General features: G+C 37.0%; 1 protein-coding gene across 6 annotated transcripts in view; it reads right to left on the reverse strand.

Moving 5' to 3' along the window:
- Positions 1-523: 523 nt before the first annotated feature.
- FGF13 (fibroblast growth factor 13) overlaps positions 524-20,656 on the reverse strand; it is a 590,297-nt gene continuing 570,164 nt past the window's right edge. For all 6 annotated transcript variants that reach the window (NM_001139498.2, NM_001139500.2, NM_001139501.2 and 3 more), the window contains one exon: positions 524-18,783. In NM_001139498.2, the coding sequence (NP_001132970.1) occupies positions 18,647-18,783 (137 nt within the window). In that variant the 3' untranslated portion in view covers positions 524-18,646. The remainder of the gene's footprint in view (positions 18,784-20,656) is intronic.

The following is a 20,656-nucleotide window of genomic DNA, read 5'->3' on the forward strand; positions in this document are numbered from 1 at the left end:
TGAGTAAAAGAATATGGAAATATGGTAAGTTAAAATGCCACAGATTTCACTGTTCTTGCCAATATCCAGCAAATTTTCTAAAATAAAGACTTCTCAAATTCTTACAAGTTTTTAGTTAATTTCCAGAGTTATGAACAAGTTAATTTAGAATTTTCACCTGTGTTCTTATTGCTTTTATGGATGAAAGGGTTTTCAGAAGTTCTTACACTGCAATTTTAGTAATTAACCACAGGAAGAAAATATGCAAACTACACATCTGACAAAGGATTCATAACTGGACTATATAGCAAACTCTGAAAACTCAATGAAAATTTCTTAAAACATCCAATAGAATATAGAGAAAATTCATCAACAATCATTTTGTAAAATAGGATATATGTATCGAAAATAAACACATGAAAAATATAGCTACTTTAAAAAAGTTTGGCAATATATTACAGAACTGAATATGTGATTATTATATAACTCAGAAATGCTTATTAATTTGTCTTAGAGCAATGAAAGCCAATGATCACACAAAATCTTATACATGAATGTTCATAGCAACTTTATTTGTAATAGCCCAAAAGTAGAAAGAACACAAATGTTGTTCAACAGGTGAATAGTTAAACTATGGCACATCTCTACCATGGAATACTACACAGAAATTAAACATATTGCATTACTGATATACACAACAGTTTGGATGCATCTCAAGGGAATTGTGCTGAGTGACAAAAGCCAATCTCTATGTGTTATATACTGTATGATGACATTTATATAACAATTCTGAAATAATAAAATTATAAGGATGAAGAACAGATTAGTGTTTACTAGCTTTTATGGGTGAAAAAGGATGACAGGGAGATGTTTATAAAGGAATAGCACAAGGGATCTTAGTGGTGACGGAACAGTTCCATATCTTGATCATTGTAGTGGTTACCCAAATATACACATGTGGTAAAATTGCATAGACCTACACACATAAACGTGCACGCACACACACACACACATACAAATTAGTGTATGTAAAACTAGAGAAGTCTGAGTAATGTCTGTGGATTATACAGATGCCAATTTCTTGGTTTATATATGATACTGCAGTTATGTAAGTTGATACCACTAGAGGAACTAGATAAAGGGCATATAGCACTTCCCTATACTCTTTGCATCTTCCTTTGAATCTATAAATATTTCAAAATAAAAGTTTTAAAAGATCAGTTGGAATATACACATGCTTATTCCTATAGTAGTGTTACTATATTCAGTTATTAATATATTCTCATAGCTTTCTTCATATGAAGATAAGGTATAGGGAAGAGTCATATCTAGTATTTGGGAAACTGAAAGAAACCCCAGTGGACCCACTTGAGTGTACATCATGGCAGGAAAAAAAAATTGTTTCAGATGTATTATTTTCTGGTACCATAGATAAAGAATAAGGATAATGCAATGGGAACAGTTGAAATATTGGCTTGTTTACTTGCATTTGTATGTTTGTTTTTAAATTTTTACCCTGTGCATTAGTTCATTCTCATGCTTCCATAAAGAAATACCCAAGACTAGGTAATTTATAAAGGAAAGAGTTTTAACTGACTCACAGTTCCGCATGGCTTCGGAGGCCTCAGGAGACTTACAATCATGGTGGAAGGCCCCTCTTCACAGGGTGGCAGGAGAGAGAATGAGTGCCAGCAGGGGAAATGCCAGATGCTTATAAAACCATTGGATCTGTTATAAATCACTATCATGAGAATAGCATGAGGGAAACCACCCCCATGATTCAGTCCTCCACCTGGTCCCACCCCTGACACATGGGGATTATTACAATTCAAGGAGAGATTTGGGTGGGAACACAAAACCAAACCATATCATTCTGACCCTAGTTCCTCCCAAATCTCATGTTCTCACATTTCAAAACACAATCATGCCCTTCCAATAGTCCCCCAAAGTATTAACTCATTCAAACATTAACCCAGAAGTCCAAGTCCAAAGTCTCATCTGAGACAAAGCAAGTCCCTTCCACCTATAAGCCTGTAAAATCTAAAGCAAGTTAGTTATTTCCAAGATACAATGGGGGTACAGGAATTGAGTAAAAATACCCATTCCAAATGGGAGAAGTTGGCCAAAACAAAGGGGCTATAGGCCCATGCAAGTCCAAAATCCAATAGGGCAGTCGTTAAAGCTTAAAGTTCCAAAATGATCTCCTTAGGCTCCATGTCTCACATCTATCCAGGTCACAATGATGCAAGGGGTGGGCTCCCACAGCCTTGGGCAGCTCTTCCCCTGTGGCTTTGCAGGATGCAGCCACCCTCACAGCTCTTTTCATGGGCTGGTGTTGAGTGCCAGTGGCTTTTCCAGGTGCATGGTGCAAGCTATTGGTGGATCTACCATTCTGGGGTCTGGAGGACTATGGCCCTCTTCTCAGAGCTCCACTATACAGTGCCCCAGTGAAGACTCTGTGGGGGAGCTCCAACCCCACATTTCCCTTCTGCACTGCCCTAGCAGAGGTTCTCCCTGAGAGCTCTACCCCTGCAGCAGACTTCTGTCTGGACATCCAGGCATTTCCATACATCCTCTGAAATCTAGGCAGAGGTTCCCAAACCTCAATTCTTGACTTCTGTGCTCCTGCAAGCCCAACACCATGTGTAAGCTGCCAAAGCTTGGGGATTGCACTCTCTGAAACAATGGCCTGAGCTGTATGTTGGCCCCTTTTAGCCACAGCTGAAGCTGAAGCAGCTGGGGACGCAGGGTACCATGTTTCAAGGCTGCAAAGAGCAAGGGGGGGTGCCTGAGGCCTGGCCCACTAAACCATTTTTTTCCTTCAAGGCCTCCTGGCCTATAATGGGAGAGGCTGCAGTGAAGGTCTCTGACATGCCCTAGAGACATTCTCCCCATTGTTTTGGTGATTAATATTTGTAGTGATAGGAATATTCTATATCTTGAAAGGAGTTTCTGTTACATGGTGCACGCATTTGTCAATACACATGAATTGATATACCTAACAGGTTTGTATATGATACAGTATATAATTTTAGCTCCATTTCTCCCCCAAGAAATATAGAAATATTAAACTCTACTTCCTGATATGCATGATAAAGGGTTTAAAGATGAAGTGCATTGATGTCTGTAACTTATTTTGAAATGCAAAAAAATAATTATTTTATAGATAAGAGCATTAATTGATGGATATATTTTCATAATGAAATGTTGGGGGAAATACTTGGAAGTGAATATAATCAACTAACTTGCAACCGTAAGTTGGAGATTGTATCAAATTTGTTAGAGGTGTGGACCAAGCCAAATTAAATTGTAACTATAAGTTTTTTAAAATTTGTGTTGAGCTAAATTGTAAGGTAAACTGAAAGAAGCTGTGTAAAAGAACCAAGGATCATCATGGTAAAGAGAATGAACATGAGGTGTGTGTGTCTGTGCATGCACACATGTGTGTGAGAGAAAAAGAGAGTGAGAAGGGGATAGCTGGGCACAGTGACTCACAATTGGTATCCTCAGGACTTGGGAGGTGGAGGTGGGAGGACCACATGATGCCAGGAGTTCAAGACCCACCTGGGCAACATAGTGAGACCCCATCTCTACAAAAAATGTAAAAATATTAGCTGGGCATGGTGGCACACGCCTTGTAGTCCCAGCTACTTGGGAGGCTGAAGTGGGAGGATCACTTGACCCAAGAAATTCGAGGCTGCAGTGAGCTGCGATTGTGCCACTGTAATCCATCCTGGGTGACAGAGTGAGACCTCAACCCCAGAGAGAGAGAGAGAGAGAGAGAATATTTTAAATTATTTTGTAAAACTCAACAATTCCAAAATAAACTTTATTCAAGGAAAAAAATAATTAAAATATGCATTTTAGATATTGGGGTGATGTCAGCAAGATGGCAGAACAGGAATTTTCTCCTGTCATTTCCCCACTATCTACAATTTTGACAACCACTCAAGTATGAGAGTACCTTTGTGGGAGTCTGGTAGTCCAGCTCACAGATGGAGCAAAACAATTACGAGAATAGGCACATTGAAAAGAACCAGAAAATAGTTTCACTACTTATGTCAACCGTCTCTCAAGCTAGCAGAACTCAACACCAAGAGATACAACTTTGACTCATGATTTCTCCATTGGGTGAAAGGGAGAGTGTAGTAAATGAATGCCTGGCTTTCCTAGCCACGTGGGACACTGACCAAGAGGCCTACTTCTTTCTATCCCCACTCAGAATACTGAGGGGATCATCATGTCTGAGTGACTGAGAGGCTGTGAGCAGGGAACAGCGGTAGGGGCTCACAGCAACCAGAGACTGGAAATTCAACAAAAGGACACATATACTACTAACAACTTCACAGACTCCATCAGGAGGCCCACCCACTAGTGGCTTGGGATGCCTGAACTGTAAACCCCCGAAGCTGACACATGGGTGCTCCCAAAACTTTGCATGTCTCCCTCTCTCCTCTACCTTGGCTTGCTCCCTGCACACGGCCCAAACCCTGACAGCGAGTGTGAACTTGTGTGCATGCAGAAGCAGGCAGCTTGACTCTGTGGGAATGGGAGAAGGCACAAAAACTTGAGCACTTCAGGGCACCACGTTAGAGAAAACAAATGGGAAACTCTCAGAATTTGGTTTGGTTTTATGAAATTAAGAAAATACAGATGATCTTAAAATTTCTCAAAAAGAGCTTGAGTGACACATCTACAGAAAAGATGTGCAAGAGTCTTAGTATCCCCAGTCAGGCTAACTGGTATAACTGTTTCTCTTCTGAAGCCAGTCAGTATAGGCTGAAGGAGGAGACTACTTCTTCAAATGTGAACATGGCAACACGAGATTTCAAGGAACACCTGCCAAAAACAACACAAAAATAATACCACCGAAGAAACTCAGTAATTTTCCAGTTGCCAACAAAAAAAAATGGAGATCTACAAATTTCCTGACAAAATATTAAAAATAATTGTTTTAAATAAGCTTGGGTTGCTACATGAGAACACAGACAAAGAAGTCAGTAGAATCAGGAAAACAATGTATGACCAAAATAATAAGTTCAACAAAGAGATAGAAACTGTGAAAAACAAACAAACAAACAAACAAACAAATTCTGAAGCTGAAGAATACAATGAATAAAATTAAAAAAGTAACAGAAAACATCCACAGCATACTCAATCAAATGAAAGAAATAATGAAGTCAAAGCATTAGGAGAAACACTTAATATAGATGACGGGTTGATGGGTGCAGCAAACCACCATGGCACGTGCATACCTATGTAACAAACCTGCACATTCTGCACATGTACCCCAGAACTTCAAGTATAATATAAAAAGAAAGAAAGACAGAAACTATCACAGTGAACATGCAACCTACAGAGTGGGAGAAAATTTTTGCAATCTATCCATCTGACAACGGTCTAATATCCAGAATCTACAAGGAATTTAAGCAAATATACAAGAAAAAAAAAACCGCATCAAAAAGTGGGCAAAGGACATGAACAGACACTTCTCAAAAAAAGACATTCATGAGGCCAACGAACATATGAAAAAAGTTCAACATCACTGATCATTAAAGAAATGCAAATCAGAACCACAAGGAGATACCATCTCATGCCAGTCACAATGGTGATTATTAAAAAGTCAAAAAATGACAGATGCTGGCAAGGTTGCAGAGAAATAGGAACACTTTTACACTGCTGGTGGGAAAGTAAATTAGTTCAAACATTGTGGAAGACAGTGTGGTGATTTCTCCGAGATCTAGAACCAGAAATAACATTTGACCCAGCAATCCCATTACTAGGTATATACCCAAAGGAATATAAATCATTCTATTACAAAGATACATGCACGCATATGTTCACTGCAGCACTGTTCAAAAGAGCAAAGATGTGGAATCAACCCAAATGCCCATCAATGATACAGTGGATAAAGAAAATGTGGCACATATACACCATGGGATACTATGCAGCCATAAAAAGGAATGAGATCATGTCATTTTCAGGGACACACATGGCGCTGGAAGCCATTATTCTTAGCAAGCTATTGCAGGAACAGAAAACCAAACACTGCGTATTCTCACTTATAAGTGAGAGCTGAACATGAGAACACATGGACACAGGGAGGGGAACAATACACACTGGGGCCTGTCAAGGGGGGTGGGGTGTGGGGAGAGATACTATTAGGAAAAATAGCTAATGCATGCTTGGCTGAACACCTCAGTGATGGGTTGAAGGTGCAGCAAACCACCATGGCACATGTTTACCTATGTAACAAACCTGCATATCCTGCACATGTACCCTGGAACTTAAAATAAAAATAAAAATTATTAAAAAAAAAGAAATCAAACCATAGTACTACAGGAAAATCATCAATCACAAAGAAAGACAGCAAGAGAGGAAGAAAGAAACAAAAAAACTTACAAAACAGCTGAAAAACATTTAACAAAGTAGCAATAGTATGTCTTTACCTATAAATAATTAATTTTAATGTAAGTAGATTAAATTCTCTAATCAAAAGACAGTGAGTGGCTGAATGGATGAAAAAGGAAGAACTAAGTACTTGCTATCTATAAGATAGTCACTTTAGCTGCAAGGACACGTATAAACTGAAAGTGAAGAGATTAAAAAGATATTGCATGTAAATAGAAACCAGAAAGAAGCAGAGACACCTATACTATATCAGACAAAACAGACTTAAAGTCACAAACTGTAACAAGAGACAAAGAATGCCATTATATAAAAATAAATGAGTCAATTCATCAACAAGATGCAATTTTGAATATATACACACCCAACATTGGATCACCTAAATATATAAAGCAGGTATTAATAGATATGAACAGGAAATATAGACTGTAATAGTATAGTAGTAGAAGACTTTGATACCCAGCTTTCAACAATGGACAGATCACCCAGACAGAAAATCAATAGGGAATTGACTTGAACTACACTTTAGACCAAATGGACCTAACAGATACAAAACATTCCCTCCAAAAGCAATAGAATGTACATTCGTCCCAAGTAATTGCGCAGGTACATTTTGAAGATACATCAACTGTTAGGCCACAAAACAAGTGTTAACAAAACTAAGAAGATTGAAATCATACCAAATATCTTTTCTGACCACAATGCTAAGAAACTGGAAATCAGTAAAGGGAGGAAAACTGTAAAATTAAACAATACACTCCTAAATAGCCAAAGAATCAAAGAGCAAATCAAAAGAAAAATTTAAAAAACTTGAGACAAACAAAAGTGGAAAAACAACATACCAAAATATATGGGATGCAGCAAAAGGCATTTCTAAGAAGGAAGTTTATAGTGATAAATGCCTACATTAAGAAAAAAAAAATCAAATAAACGACCTAACTTTACACCTCAAGGAACTATAAAAGAACCATAAACTAATCCCAAAGTCGGAAGAAGGAATGAAGTAAATATCAGAACAGAAAAAAGTGAAATAGAAACTAGAAAAATAAAAAAGAGCAATAAAACTGAGTTGTTTTTTGAAAAGATTAAAAAACAGACAAGCCTTTAGCTAGAGTAACTGAGAGTGAAAGAGAAAAGACATAAACAAATAAAATCAGAAATGAAAGAGAAGACATTACAACTGATACCATAGAAATATAAATGATCATTAGAGACTATTATGAACAATTATACACAAGTTGGGTAATCTAGAAGAAACAGATAAATTTCTAGAAACATACCACAACCTAGCAAGACTGAATCATGAATAGAGAATCTGTAGAGAGCAATAATGAAAAAGAATATTGAATCAGCAATTTTTTAAAAAAGAACTTCCCAACAAAGTAAAGCCCAGAACCAGATGGCTTCAGTGGTGAATTCTACCCAACATTTAAAGAAAATCTAATATCAATCCTTCTCAAATCTTCCAAAAAAAAAAGAAGAGTGAGGAACACTTCTAAACTCATTTTTCTATGAAACCAGCATTATTCTCCTACCAAAGCCAGGCAAGGACACTACAAGAAAAAAAAGGAATACAGTCCCAAATCCCTGTTGAACATAGATGCAAAAATCCACAACAAAATACTAGCTAAAAGAACTTAACATCACATTAAAAAGATCATTCACCATAATCAAGTGAGAGTTATCCCTGGGATAAAAGGATGGCTCAACATACTCAAATCAATAAATATGAACAATAAGACAATGAAGGATAATAATCATATGATCATTTTAACAGATACAGAAAAGGCATTTGAAAAAAAATCAACACCCTTTCATGATGAAAACATTCAAAACATTAGGTAGAGAAGGAATATCCCTAAATATAACAAAGGCCATATATATGACAAACTCACATCTAACGTGATAGTCAGTAGTGAAATGCTGAAAGCTTTTCTTCTGAAATCAGGATGAAGAAGAGAATGCTCACTCTTGCCACTTCTATTCCACATGGTACTTGAAGTTCTGCTTAGAGCAATAAGTCGAGAAAAAGAAATAAAATGCATGCAAATCAGGACGGAAGAAGTAAAATGGTCTGTTTCAAATCACATGCTCTTCAATACAGAAACCCAATGACTCCAACAGAAAAATGTTAGAAGTGATAAATAAATTCAGTGAAGTTGTAAAGATTTTTGGGGACTTATGTGGTGCCATATGAATTTTAGAATTTTTTTTTATTTCTGTAAAAGATTCGATTAAGATTTTGATAGGGCTTGCATTGACTCTGTAGATCACTTTAGTTAGTATTAACATTTCTGTAATATTAATTCTTCCAATCTATGAACAAAGGGATCTGTTCCATTTGTCTTCTTCAATTACTTTCATCAATATTTTATAGTTTTTAATATAAAGATCTTTCACCTCCTTTGCTAAATTTATTTCTAAGTATTTTTTTGCAATTGCAAATGGGATTGTGTTCTTTATTTTTTGGATAGTTCATTGTTCGTGTGAAGAAACAACTGATTTTTATGTTGATTTTTTTATCAACATTGGTGAATTCTACCCAAGTGAAATTGGTGAAATCCCACTTGATTATGGTGAATGATCCTTTAAATGTGATGTTAAGTTCTTTTAGCTAGTATTTTGTTGTGGATTTTTGCATCTATGTTCAACAGGGATTTGGGCCTGTAATTTTTTTTCTTGTAGTGTCCTTGTCTGGAATGGTATGAGAATAATGCTGGCTTCATAAAATGAGTTTGGAAGTGCTCCTTCCTCTTCATTTTTTTGGAAGATTTTGAGAAGGATTGGTATTAGTTTTTCCTCAAATGTTGGGTGGAATTCACCAATGTTGATACAAAATCAACATAAAAAATCAGTTGTTTCTGTACACTAACAATGAACTATCCAAAAAATAAATTAGTGGCTGGGTGCAGTGGCTCACGCCTGTAATCCCAGCGCTTTGGGAGGCCGAGGAAGGTGGATCACCTGAGGTCAGGAGTTTGAGACTAGCCTGGCCAACATGGTGAAACCCCATCTCTATCTACTAAAAATACAAAAATTAGCCAGGCATGGTGGTAGGCGCCTATAATCCCAGCTACTCGGGAGGCTGAGGCAAGAGAATCCCTTTAACTCGGGAGGCAGAGGTTGTGGTGAGCCAAGATCACACCACTGCACTCCAGCCTGGGTGACAGAGCAAGACTCCATCTCAAAAACAAACAAACAAACAAACAAACAAAATAAAATAAATTAGAAAAACAATCCCATTTGCAATTGCATCAAAAAGGAAAATGTACTTAGGAATAAGTTTAACCAAGGAGGTGAAAAATCTGTACATTAAAAACTATAAGATACTGATGAAAGGAATTGAAGAAGAGAAATAAGTGCAACAGTATCCTGTGTTCATAGTTTGGAAGAATTAATTTTGCAAAAATGTTGATACTAACCAAAGTGATCTACAGAGTCAATGCAAGCACTATCAAAATCTTAATATAATTTTTTACAGAAATAGAAAAAAAATTCTTAAAACCTTATGGAACCACCTAAGTCCCCAAAGATCTAAAACAATCTTGAGAAAGAAGTTTAGAACATTTCCTGATTTCAAATTATATTGTAAAGCTATAGTAATCAAAACAGTATGGTATTGGCATAGAAGCAGACACATAGACCAATGGAACAGAATAGAAAGCCAAGAAACAAATCCACACATATATGATCAACAAATCTTCAACAAAGGCACTAAAAACACATCATGGGGAAATATAGTCCATTCAATAAATCGTATTTTAAACATTGAATATCCAAATACAAAATAATGAAATTGGACCTTTATCCTATACCATACACAAAAATCAACTCAAAATCGATTAAAAACTTAAACATAAGACCTAAAATTGTAAAATTACTAGAATAAGAAATAATGTCTATGGCATTGGTCTTGGCAATAACTTTTTTGGCTGTAACACCAAAAGCACATGCAACAAAGTAAAAATAAACAAGTCAGACTACATTAAATTAAAAAGTTTCAAAGCCAGGCATGGTGGCCCATGCCTCTAATCCTAACACTTTGGGAGGTCCCAAGGTGGGCAAGATGGCTTGAGCCCAGGAGTTTTAGACCAGCCTGGGCAACAGGGTGAAACTCCATCTCTACTAAAAATACAAAAACTGAGGTGGGAGGATCACCTGATCCTGGGGAGGTCAAGGCTGTGGTGAGACATGATCACACCACTGCACTCCAGCCTGGGTGACAGAGTGAGACACTGTTTCAAAAAATAAAATAAAAAAATTATCTGCCCAGCAAAGGAAATAATCGACAAAACGAAAAGGCAACCTGCAGAATAGGAGAAAATATTTGCAAACCATATTTCTCATAAGGGGTTAATATCCAAAATATATAAGGAACTCATACAAGTCAATAGCAAAAATACAAGTAAACTGTATTTTGAAAAATGGACCAAGGAGCTGAATAGACATCTCTCCAAGGAAGACATACAAATGGCCAACATATATCTGAAAAGGTACTTAACATCATTAATCATAAGGGAAATGCAAATCAAAACCACAATGTAATATCACACATGTTATTAATAGGAATAATATTATCCAAAACTTAAAAGATAATGTGTTGGCAAGGAGGTATTCTTGTACACTGTTTATGGGAATGTAAATTAGTAAGCCATTATGTAAAACAGTATGGAGATCCTCATAAAAGTAAAAATAGAACTACTGTATGATCCAGCATTCCCACTTCTGGTTATATATCCAAAGGAAATTAAATCAGTATGCCAAACAGACATCTGCACTCCCATTCATTCCCATTGCACCATTATTCACAATAGATAAGTTATGGAACAACCTAAGTGCCCACGGACAGATGAATGAAGAAAGAAAATTATATATATATACATATATATATATAATATATATATATACATATATATATATAATATAATATATATATATATCTTAGCCATATAAAGAGGGAGCTCCTTCCATTTACATAAACATGGATGAAACTTCAGAGCACGTTGAAATAAGCAAACTAAGTGAAATAAGCCAGATGAAAAAAGAAAAAAATGCTACATGACATCCTTTGTATAAAAAGAATCTTAAAAAGTTGAACTAATGGAAACAGAGAGTTGAATGGTGGTTACCAGGGTCTAGGGGGTGAGGTAACGTGGAGCTGTAAAAAAAATTATTTTAATTTTTCACCTTTATATACCATTTCGGTTGTTCGTAGTAATTATGTTACCTTAAAAAAATAAAATGTGCACTTTAGATGGGAAGATGTTGTTAGAACATAATTTTGCTGATTTTTTTCTGATATGATTGTACTGGTCAAACTGCCCCTATAACTTGAGGAATTCCTTTTTGAGCAGGCAAAATACAGATTGTTCAACAGACGAAAAGGAGGAATTAGTAGGGCAATCTTCTATAGCCTAATAGGCAAGGTTGTGAATCATACTTTGCTCAGAGTCTATTTTCTTTCTTTCATTTTGTCTACTGATGAGAATAAATTACTCATTAGGTTTCTACAAAACATGTAGAGCAACTCCATTTCAGAGATGCTCAAATAATACAGGCCTAAGTGGCTCATAATGTTTTTCTGGTAATGAGGTATGATGGAATGAGGCACTGTAGAAAGATTGCTCCTTTCCCAGACATCACTTGCATACCAGGGGCTCTGCCCCTCATTGTCCAGCTACACTAGGCTAATTAATATTTTAGAGATACCCAGTGCTATTTCATGTGCCTTTCATGTGAAGCTCTATGCCTTCACTTATACTATTCTGTTCTGTTTTGTTTTATGTGACACAGAGCGTCTACACTTCCCTTCTGGCTGTTGAATTCCTACTCATCTTTTAAGACTCCACTGAAACATTAACTCTTCTTTGAAAATGTTTAAATTTCCCTAATCAAAAATTTTTCCTCCATTGTATTTTTTACATCACAGCATTTATTGCAATCTAAGTGTGATGCTTGCATGTCTATCTACCACTTTACACTGAGAGTTTGTAGAAAGATCATGCAAATTCCGCTTTTAGTACAGTTAGCCTTGCAGGTGACTCCAAGGAACTTTGAAGCTCTCTTTACCAAAACTTCCCTAAGAACAGCAACATGACTTGTTTATTTAGTGTCCTGCTACACACACACACAGACACAGACACACACACACGCACACAGAAACAATAGGGTAGTGTTTGTTCTGTGTATATCTGGCACTAAATATGTTGGTAAATATATTGGTGGTGTATTTTGAAACGTTCTTAAGACCCATGAAAGTCAAATATTGTTCAAGCTGTTTTATTCAGCTGTTTTACATTAAGAAGAAAACTATAGTATAGCCAGACTTGGAGAACTAATTCATTCTGGTTTTGAAATTTTCGAGGAAGAAAATAACACTTGGATGGTAATCATCCAGTTTGTCCCAGGGTATTAGTGACAGAGAGGTTTCCATATGTGAAGAACATAAAACTGAATAGTTACTTGCAATTGGAGTTCCACTTTATTAATCGCAGTAAGGAAAGAAAAATTCTCTGTTACTAAACCCCAGAATATCTTTTTCTACAAAATTGACACAGTTTCAATCCATTTATCTTTGTGTGAATGCTTTATCCAGGCCTCAGTAATGTGCTGTGAAGCGCTGACAGTATTTAAGGTCATAAATATCTACTGTGCCAACAAGCTGAGTGATTGACTCAAAAGGAGCTGAGATTTTACTCAATCATTATCCCATACGTTTCTCTTACTCTAATTGCTAACTTTACACAGCATTAAAAACAAATTATTAAGAGCGTACACATTATTACAGTACAAAATATGTAGATATGCTAACATGTTGTAGGGCAAACCTGGGCAATACTATTTAGTGTGTGTGTCATAGCTGAAAGGATAGCTTCTGAAGCCAGAGAGCCACATGGATTTTGAACTTGACTGCTCCATTCTCCCAACTGAATAGACATATGATCAACCTCCCAGAGGAAGACAGCAGCTCTGAGTTCTTTTGGAGGCCCATCTAGTGTGTGTGTGCCTGTGTGTGTGTGTGTGTGTGTGTGTGTGTGCGCGTGTGTGTGTGTGTGTGTGTGAAGTGTTTGTACAAAAGAGAAATAGGCAGTGTTTGTAACAAAAACTAATATAAAATGAGAAACTGAATTGACATTTGGTTAGTTTACAATTCTAAAACTGAAAATCATCCACATTGTGTGTTCTAGAAAGACTTCCTGCATTGTGACAGAATTGCAACTGTTACAAACTTCTTCCAGTATGCCCACATAGAAATTGGAAAATCCCCAAAATGATGCCATGTATTATACTTGTCTGCATTCTTTATTACGGTAAATGTGATGAGAAATACAAGATACTTGTACTCATGTGATATTAGCAAAAGGGTTCATTAATTTGTCATAGATTATTGTTCTCTGTGCAACAAATTCAAACCAACCTCTAAAGAGTAACAGTGTTTAAAGATTACAAAGGCCCAGAAAATGTGATGGTTCATGAAAGAGTAACTTCCAAAATTCCTCTAAGCTGGGATTTTTTTTCATTCTCTCTCTCTCTGTTTCTTGGAGATAAAGAGCAGTCCAGAATTAGAGACATGTTCTTTTCAGTATACTATTACTTGTAGCATTCTCAATCGTGTGAAACCATGAGACCACATCTTTGTGGACAGAGCAATAAAAGTTATGAAAAGCTGTCTTTGTAAATATGGTTAAGAATTTGAAGGGTACTAGTGGCCTGACCTAGCTATACTTTGCTAATTGTTTTATAATTGGAAATGGTCATCTATTATACCACTGCCATATCCCTGTACAGATTTTTGTACTGACAATCACAGCCCTGCTGTAATCAATTTCTAAAGTGAGAAAATGGCTTTGAATAGAGGTTGAAAGGATTTTCAGAAACAATAGAAAAAAGCGTAGATTGTCTTGCAGAGATTGTTAAAGACTCTGCCAGTGAAGGCACATTTCAATTTTACCCATGAATGACATCGCATCTAAATGAGGCTTCTAAGACACATTCGTATGAAATTTGTTGAAAATGGTTATCAGTTCTGATCCCACCACCCCTTATCCACAGCATAGTTATGGTCAGCTGATGTAGATGAAGAGATATTCATTTTCCCTCATATGTTCATTTGGACAATGGATGCTTGGTAAAGTTAAATCCATGTAGCTAAGGTCTTTGAAAAACTCTTCGGTGAGCTTGACTGGCTTAAAACTGGAACAAATGTACTGGTTAGGGAGGGGAGGAGTGCCACAGATCACTTCCCTCTCAGTCCTTTAAGGATTCCATGGCAATGAGCATGTCCTCTCTTTGGATACAAACAAAACTCCTGGGAGGGGGAATTGGAGCCTGTTTTGCTTTTAAAAAGTTGCAAAAAGCCTGAAGAAAGTGTTGTTTTCTTTTCCATATTCATTCTCAGGCTAAATACAGTATAATGATTGAATACACGTTCACAGATGGGGTGGAAAACTGACATTAAGTGCCATGCCATAGAACACTGACATTAAGTGCTGTGGCATAGAACAGTAGGTATCAGATTCAGGAGATTCCCAGGCCAAGCTTAAAACAAAAGAAGCATATAAAACACCACAGGTGATTCAGGTACACATAAAAAGCTTGAGGACTACCACTCTACTGCAATGTTAATAGACGCTCCATGAAAATGTGGCTTTGTGGCCCAATAAGTTTGTCTCAGCATTTGTAAAAGTTAAACAGATTTCTTTAACACAAGACTTTTCAGAAATTAATTTGCTAATGCACGCTAATCCTGAAGAAAGGAATAGTGTATGCCAGTGTGATATGGTTTGGCTCTGTGTCCCCACCTAAATCTCATTTAGAGTTGTAATCCCAATGTGTTGAGGGAGGGACCTGGTGGGAGGTGATTGGATCCTCGGGGCGGTTTCCCCATGCTGTCTCATATAGTGAGGAAGTTCTCACTAAATCTGTTTGATAAGTGGCGCTTTCCCATTCTCTCTCCTGCTGCCACGTGGAAAAGGTCCTTGCTTCCCCTTCATCTTCTGCCATGATGGTAAGTTTCCTGAGGCCTCCCCAGCCATGCAGAACTGTGAGTCAATTAAACCTCTTTCCTTTATAAATTACCCAGTCTCAGGTAGTATCTTTATAGCAGCGTGAGAATGAACTAATACCAGTGGTTCTCAAAGTCCCGAGGATCAACAGCCTCAGCATCACCTGGAAACTTGTTAGAAATGCCAAGTTTTGGGCCCACACAAGACTCACTCAATCAGAAACTCTGAAGGTGAAGTCCAGTGATCTGAGTCTTACAAGCCTTCCAGGTGATTCTGATGTGAGCTAATATCTGAGACCCAATAGTATTTGAAGTGTTTCCCACAACTATTTGACTAGAGTCTTTTTTTCTTTCATCAGTTATGTGGCAGGACTAGTATTTTCTGCCAGGAGGAATGCTACTAAAGGATGTGCATGAGGGGATGGGGTGGGAAAGGGTGTGTGTGTATGTGTGTGTGTAATGAAGATGTGTGAAAGTATTGATATCATCACTTGTAGGAAGGTTTGAGGACTATTTATTTACTTATTAATTTATTTTAACACCACTGTCTGTTTAAAGCAACTTTAAGGCAGCTCAAAAAGAATGCTGGGGGTAAAGGATTCTTCCTGGGCATTTTGACTCCATCCTATTAACGCAGGCATCCCTGAGACCCACATAGTGCTAATTTGCTTACTACCAGCAGACCTACACTATTTCTGAACAACAGAAAAAGCAAGACCAGCAACTGAAGTAGTCAGTGACCAAACTTTAAAGTTCTTAGAGAAAGAGGGAGACAATGCACTACTTTTCCCTACTGATTGAAAATTAGTAAGAGTTAATAGGGAGAGGTGGTTGAGTGAGCATCTCCTGATTTTTAAAACATGGTACAAAGGATCCTGCATCCAAGATAGCTAGGCAGGTGAGCGTACCTCATGTAGGTGTGTTTAGAGCTCAGGCAGGATGAAGCAGGATGAGGAGGACTTATCTCATGAAATTACAAGGTGACTTAGACTGGGCTGGGGTGGGCAGGGATAGGAGCTCATGCTGAATCTGGTCCAAACATCTTAGAAATGAGGAGTCTCCCCTCCTTGCAAAAGCAGGCTGTTTGGGGCCCCAGTAATTTTATTTGCAGATGCTCTGAAAAGCACTAGTCAACTACGTTTTATGTATTTCACAATTCTTCCCTCCATATACAGATGATCCTTCACTTACGATGGGGGTCACATACCAATAAACCCATCTTAAGTTGAAAATGCATTTAATACACCTAACCTAGCAAACATCATAGCTTAGCCTAGCCTACTTTAAATGTGCTTAGAACGCTTATATTAGCTTACAGTTGGACAAAATCATGTACTACAAAGCAAATTTTGTAATTAAAAAGTGTTGAATAGCTCATGTCATTTATTGAATAGTGTACTGGAAATAAAAAGCAAAATGGTTGTATGGTAAAGTATGAGTTCTACTAAATGCCTATTGCTTCTGTACCACTGTAAAGCCCCCGAAAAAATGTAAGTTGAACTACTGTAAGTCAGAGACCATCTGTATTGACTGTTCTCAAAGTGTTCATTGCCAGACAATGCAGCTTTGGGGAGCTAGAGAAAAGTCATCAACATTTAAAAAAATTTACATTTTCCTTCAGTTCTCAAAGGTAGAAAGGACACTATTTAGTCCTGTGTATTCCCTCTAGAGAGGAGAGAAATAAGCAACAGAGAGGGGAAATGACACTGTGAGTGGCAGAGAAAATACTAGCACAAACGCCTCATTTGTATAATTTGACTACTGAACGGGAATGTGAATTCCTTTGTACCAATCTGAAGTGCAAGTACAGTAACTAGTAAAATAAACACACTTTAAAGTGTTCATGTTAATATGACTCTCTAGACTGTAGACTATCTGAGGACAGTGACCTTATCTGCATTATACAATGTTTACTTCCAGTTGCTACTTCAGTTACTGGCACATAATGGACGCTCAATAAATACATGTTGGAAGATTATTCTTTGAATGAATATAAAGAGTTTATTCGGTGCGTATTTGGGTATACAACAACAAATATTAAACAACTTTTTTAAACTTTTTGTGCACAGGACAGAAAACTGCCTGTACATGCTATGTCCACTTTTGGAACACAGATTTTTAACAATTATGAATGCACAAAATCTTACATATCATGCAACTCTATGCCAAGAACCCAACTTTCTTCCATGCAACAGATATGAAGATCTAAATGGAAACCTAGCTAAGTCTTAAACACTTTTCCAGTAGCAAGTATAATATATGTTGTTGAGGGAAAACCAGTCTTAACAATTCCTTGTACACAATATTCATGTGCCAAATACAATGACAGGAAGACTCATACATATACAGATAAGACATTTCTTATTTTAACAACACAAAAGACAACATCACAGTTCCACAGTTCCTGTCTTTACACAAGAAGCCACAACAATAGTTTAACATGATACACAAATGGAATTAAGAGAAATCTACACTTGAGGATAATTTTTTGAAGTTCTCTTTACTGACTGGGGTTGACAATACAACTCAATTTCTACGCACAAAGTACAGCACAATAACTTGACCAGAATACCACAAATCTAAAAAAAAAAAAAAAGAAAGAAAAACAATTGGTCAAACCACAAGAACACTGTTACCTTGAGCCTGAGAAGCCAATTCAGATTCAACCCTGAATTTGGTTGATTTGGATTAAGTGACGCAAAAAGTCAATAGAACCATTGAATTTCAGAAATCATAAAGTTGCACTATGCCAAAGAAAAGAGTACATGTGAATCAAGCGTAGATAGAAAACATCAAGCCAAGAAAACAACACAATTCACATAATTTTGTTTGCCCCGACAAAACATTTAAGCAGTTAATTTTGTTTTGTTTTGTTTTGTTTGTTTTTGAAGAACAATTGTGGTCTTTTACATTTTCTTGGTGGGAGAGCAAATTTTGATCAGCATTAGTGCTGTGAAATACTTTTGGATTATCATCCCCAAAGTATAGGTGAGATCATGAGAAAATTTGGCAGTCCTTCTCTCAGATTTAGTTCACTAAAATGCTTGGCATTCTTATGCACAAGCTCAATCTAAATAATGGGGCTTTAGTATGGATGATAAGAAGGTCTAATGGCAGATAGAATAGTGAACTCTGCCTGTTTGTTTGGTAAATGTCACTGACAAATTTGAACTTTTGGGTGAAGGACTGCTAGAAGAATTCAACAGCACCTGGAGGTAAGGTTCTGTTACAGAGCCCTTCTTTTGCCCTCACTGGCTACGTTGATTCATTGTGGCTCATGGATTTGCCTCCGTTCAGCACGCCAGAGACACTTCTGCTCTTGGTTGGGGTCCCGCTTCCAGATCGGGAGAACTCCGTGAGATCGTGCAGTGATGGCTCCTTGTACATGGCCACTGAAAAGCACACAAAGATGGTGTAAAAGGCCTTCAAATGGGCATACCAATTGTGAAAATTTCTAAGAATAGTTTGTAGGTGTTCTATTCCACACACCTAAATGATAAGTATGTGAGGTAATGCATATGTTAATTAGCTTGATTTAGCTATTCCACAATGTATACATATTTCAAAATACCTTGTTCATAATAAATATATACAATTTTTGTGTCAATTATAAATTAAATTCAGAAAAGGAAAAAGAGAAAAAAAATACATTAAAAAAATGGGCCTACCACACTGGTCCTCAACTTTTCTTTTGGTTACTAGGCTTCTGTGCCTTAAGCCAGACATGAAAAACACTGCTTTCAAGGACTCAGTAGAGAGTGGACAGGTTCAGATTAAGCAAAAATCTAGCCTTGGTGTAGTAGTGTGTAAAGAATTTTAATGCCTAACTTCAACCACATATGGTTATGTAAGAGAGGATTAATAAAAAATGCATTTAATAAACCTCTTAGAAGTTTAAATATGATCTATAGCATACTGTACAAGGCAAATATTAAAATTTAAAATATTTTAAAACACTGATTTCTATCATACTTTAAAATGAAACACTTCAAGAGTCTAAGTATTGGATAATTCTTGGTACAGTAAATGGTAAAATTTATTATTGTGCTATAAATAAACATAATAGCTTATAGTTATGGAACACATAACATTAGATACTACTCTAAGTTCTTTGCATGCATTATCCCATTTAGTCCCTATGAGAATCTTATAAGTACTCTTATCCATATTATACAGATGAACTTGAGGCATACACAGGTAAATAACCTGTTCAAGACCATCCAGTTAGCAAAAAGTGAAGTTGGGCCTTGAATTTAGGTAGTCTGGCTCCAAAAAATGTGCTGTAAAACACAGTGCTGTGCTTATTCGAATTGCACAGTGTCTGCCTCTACTCTAAACCCCTACTCTTACCTCAGGCTAGTAATCTCTTTGAAGTCTTCCTCTGCTTTGCCCGCATTTTCTGTCTCTTCTCTACCATATCTCACTATTTCTTACCTCCCTATCTTCCATAGCCTATTCTTGTCCCTCACCCTTTCTAATTTGCTATTAATCTGCTAATAATGATGGGAAAACTATAAGCAAAATTTGCTGAAATAATATGTTGGGCCCTTAGAGAGGACCCAAGGAGCTTTCTGGTAAGTGTTAAGTGTACACACATTTTTTTTTTCTTTTGTTTTTTGAAACGGAGTCTCACTCTGCCGCCCAGGCTGGAGTCCAGTGGCACGATCTCAGCTCGCTGTAAGCTCCGCCTCCCAGGTTCACGCCATTCTCCGGACCTCGTGATCCGCCCGCCTCGGCCTCCCCAAAGTGCTGGGATTACAGGCGTGAGCCACCGTGCCCGGCTGTGTATACACATTTTTAACACCTATGTTTCTGCCCAGGCAACATTTTAGCATAATTTGGGGATCTTGGCTGTCCTGAGTTAGCATGTAAGTTACTTCCACATAAGTAAAGTGTCACTATATGTACATGCACTATGGAAAAATTAAAATCAGGAGAGCAAATGTTTTTGAGTGTTACAAAATGTAAGTTTTTTAAATAAATGTCTTAATGTGGAACAACTGTTTCATTTTCAAAAGTATTATTAAGGACTGCTTTAAATTACTATTTCTAAATGTTCAACATCACTAATCATCAGGGAAATGCAAATTAAAACCACAATGAGATACCACCTTACTGCTGCAAGAATGGCTATAATTAAAATGTCAAAAAACAACAGATGTTGGCATGGATGTGGTGAAAGGGAACACTTTTACACTGCTGGCGAGAATGTAAATCAGTACAACCACTATGGAAAACAGTATGGAGAATCCTTAAAGAACTAAA

Source organism: Homo sapiens, chromosome X (assembly GCF_000001405.40).
Source record: "Homo sapiens chromosome X, GRCh38.p14 Primary Assembly".
Taxonomy (NCBI): Eukaryota; Metazoa; Chordata; class Mammalia; order Primates; family Hominidae; genus Homo; species Homo sapiens.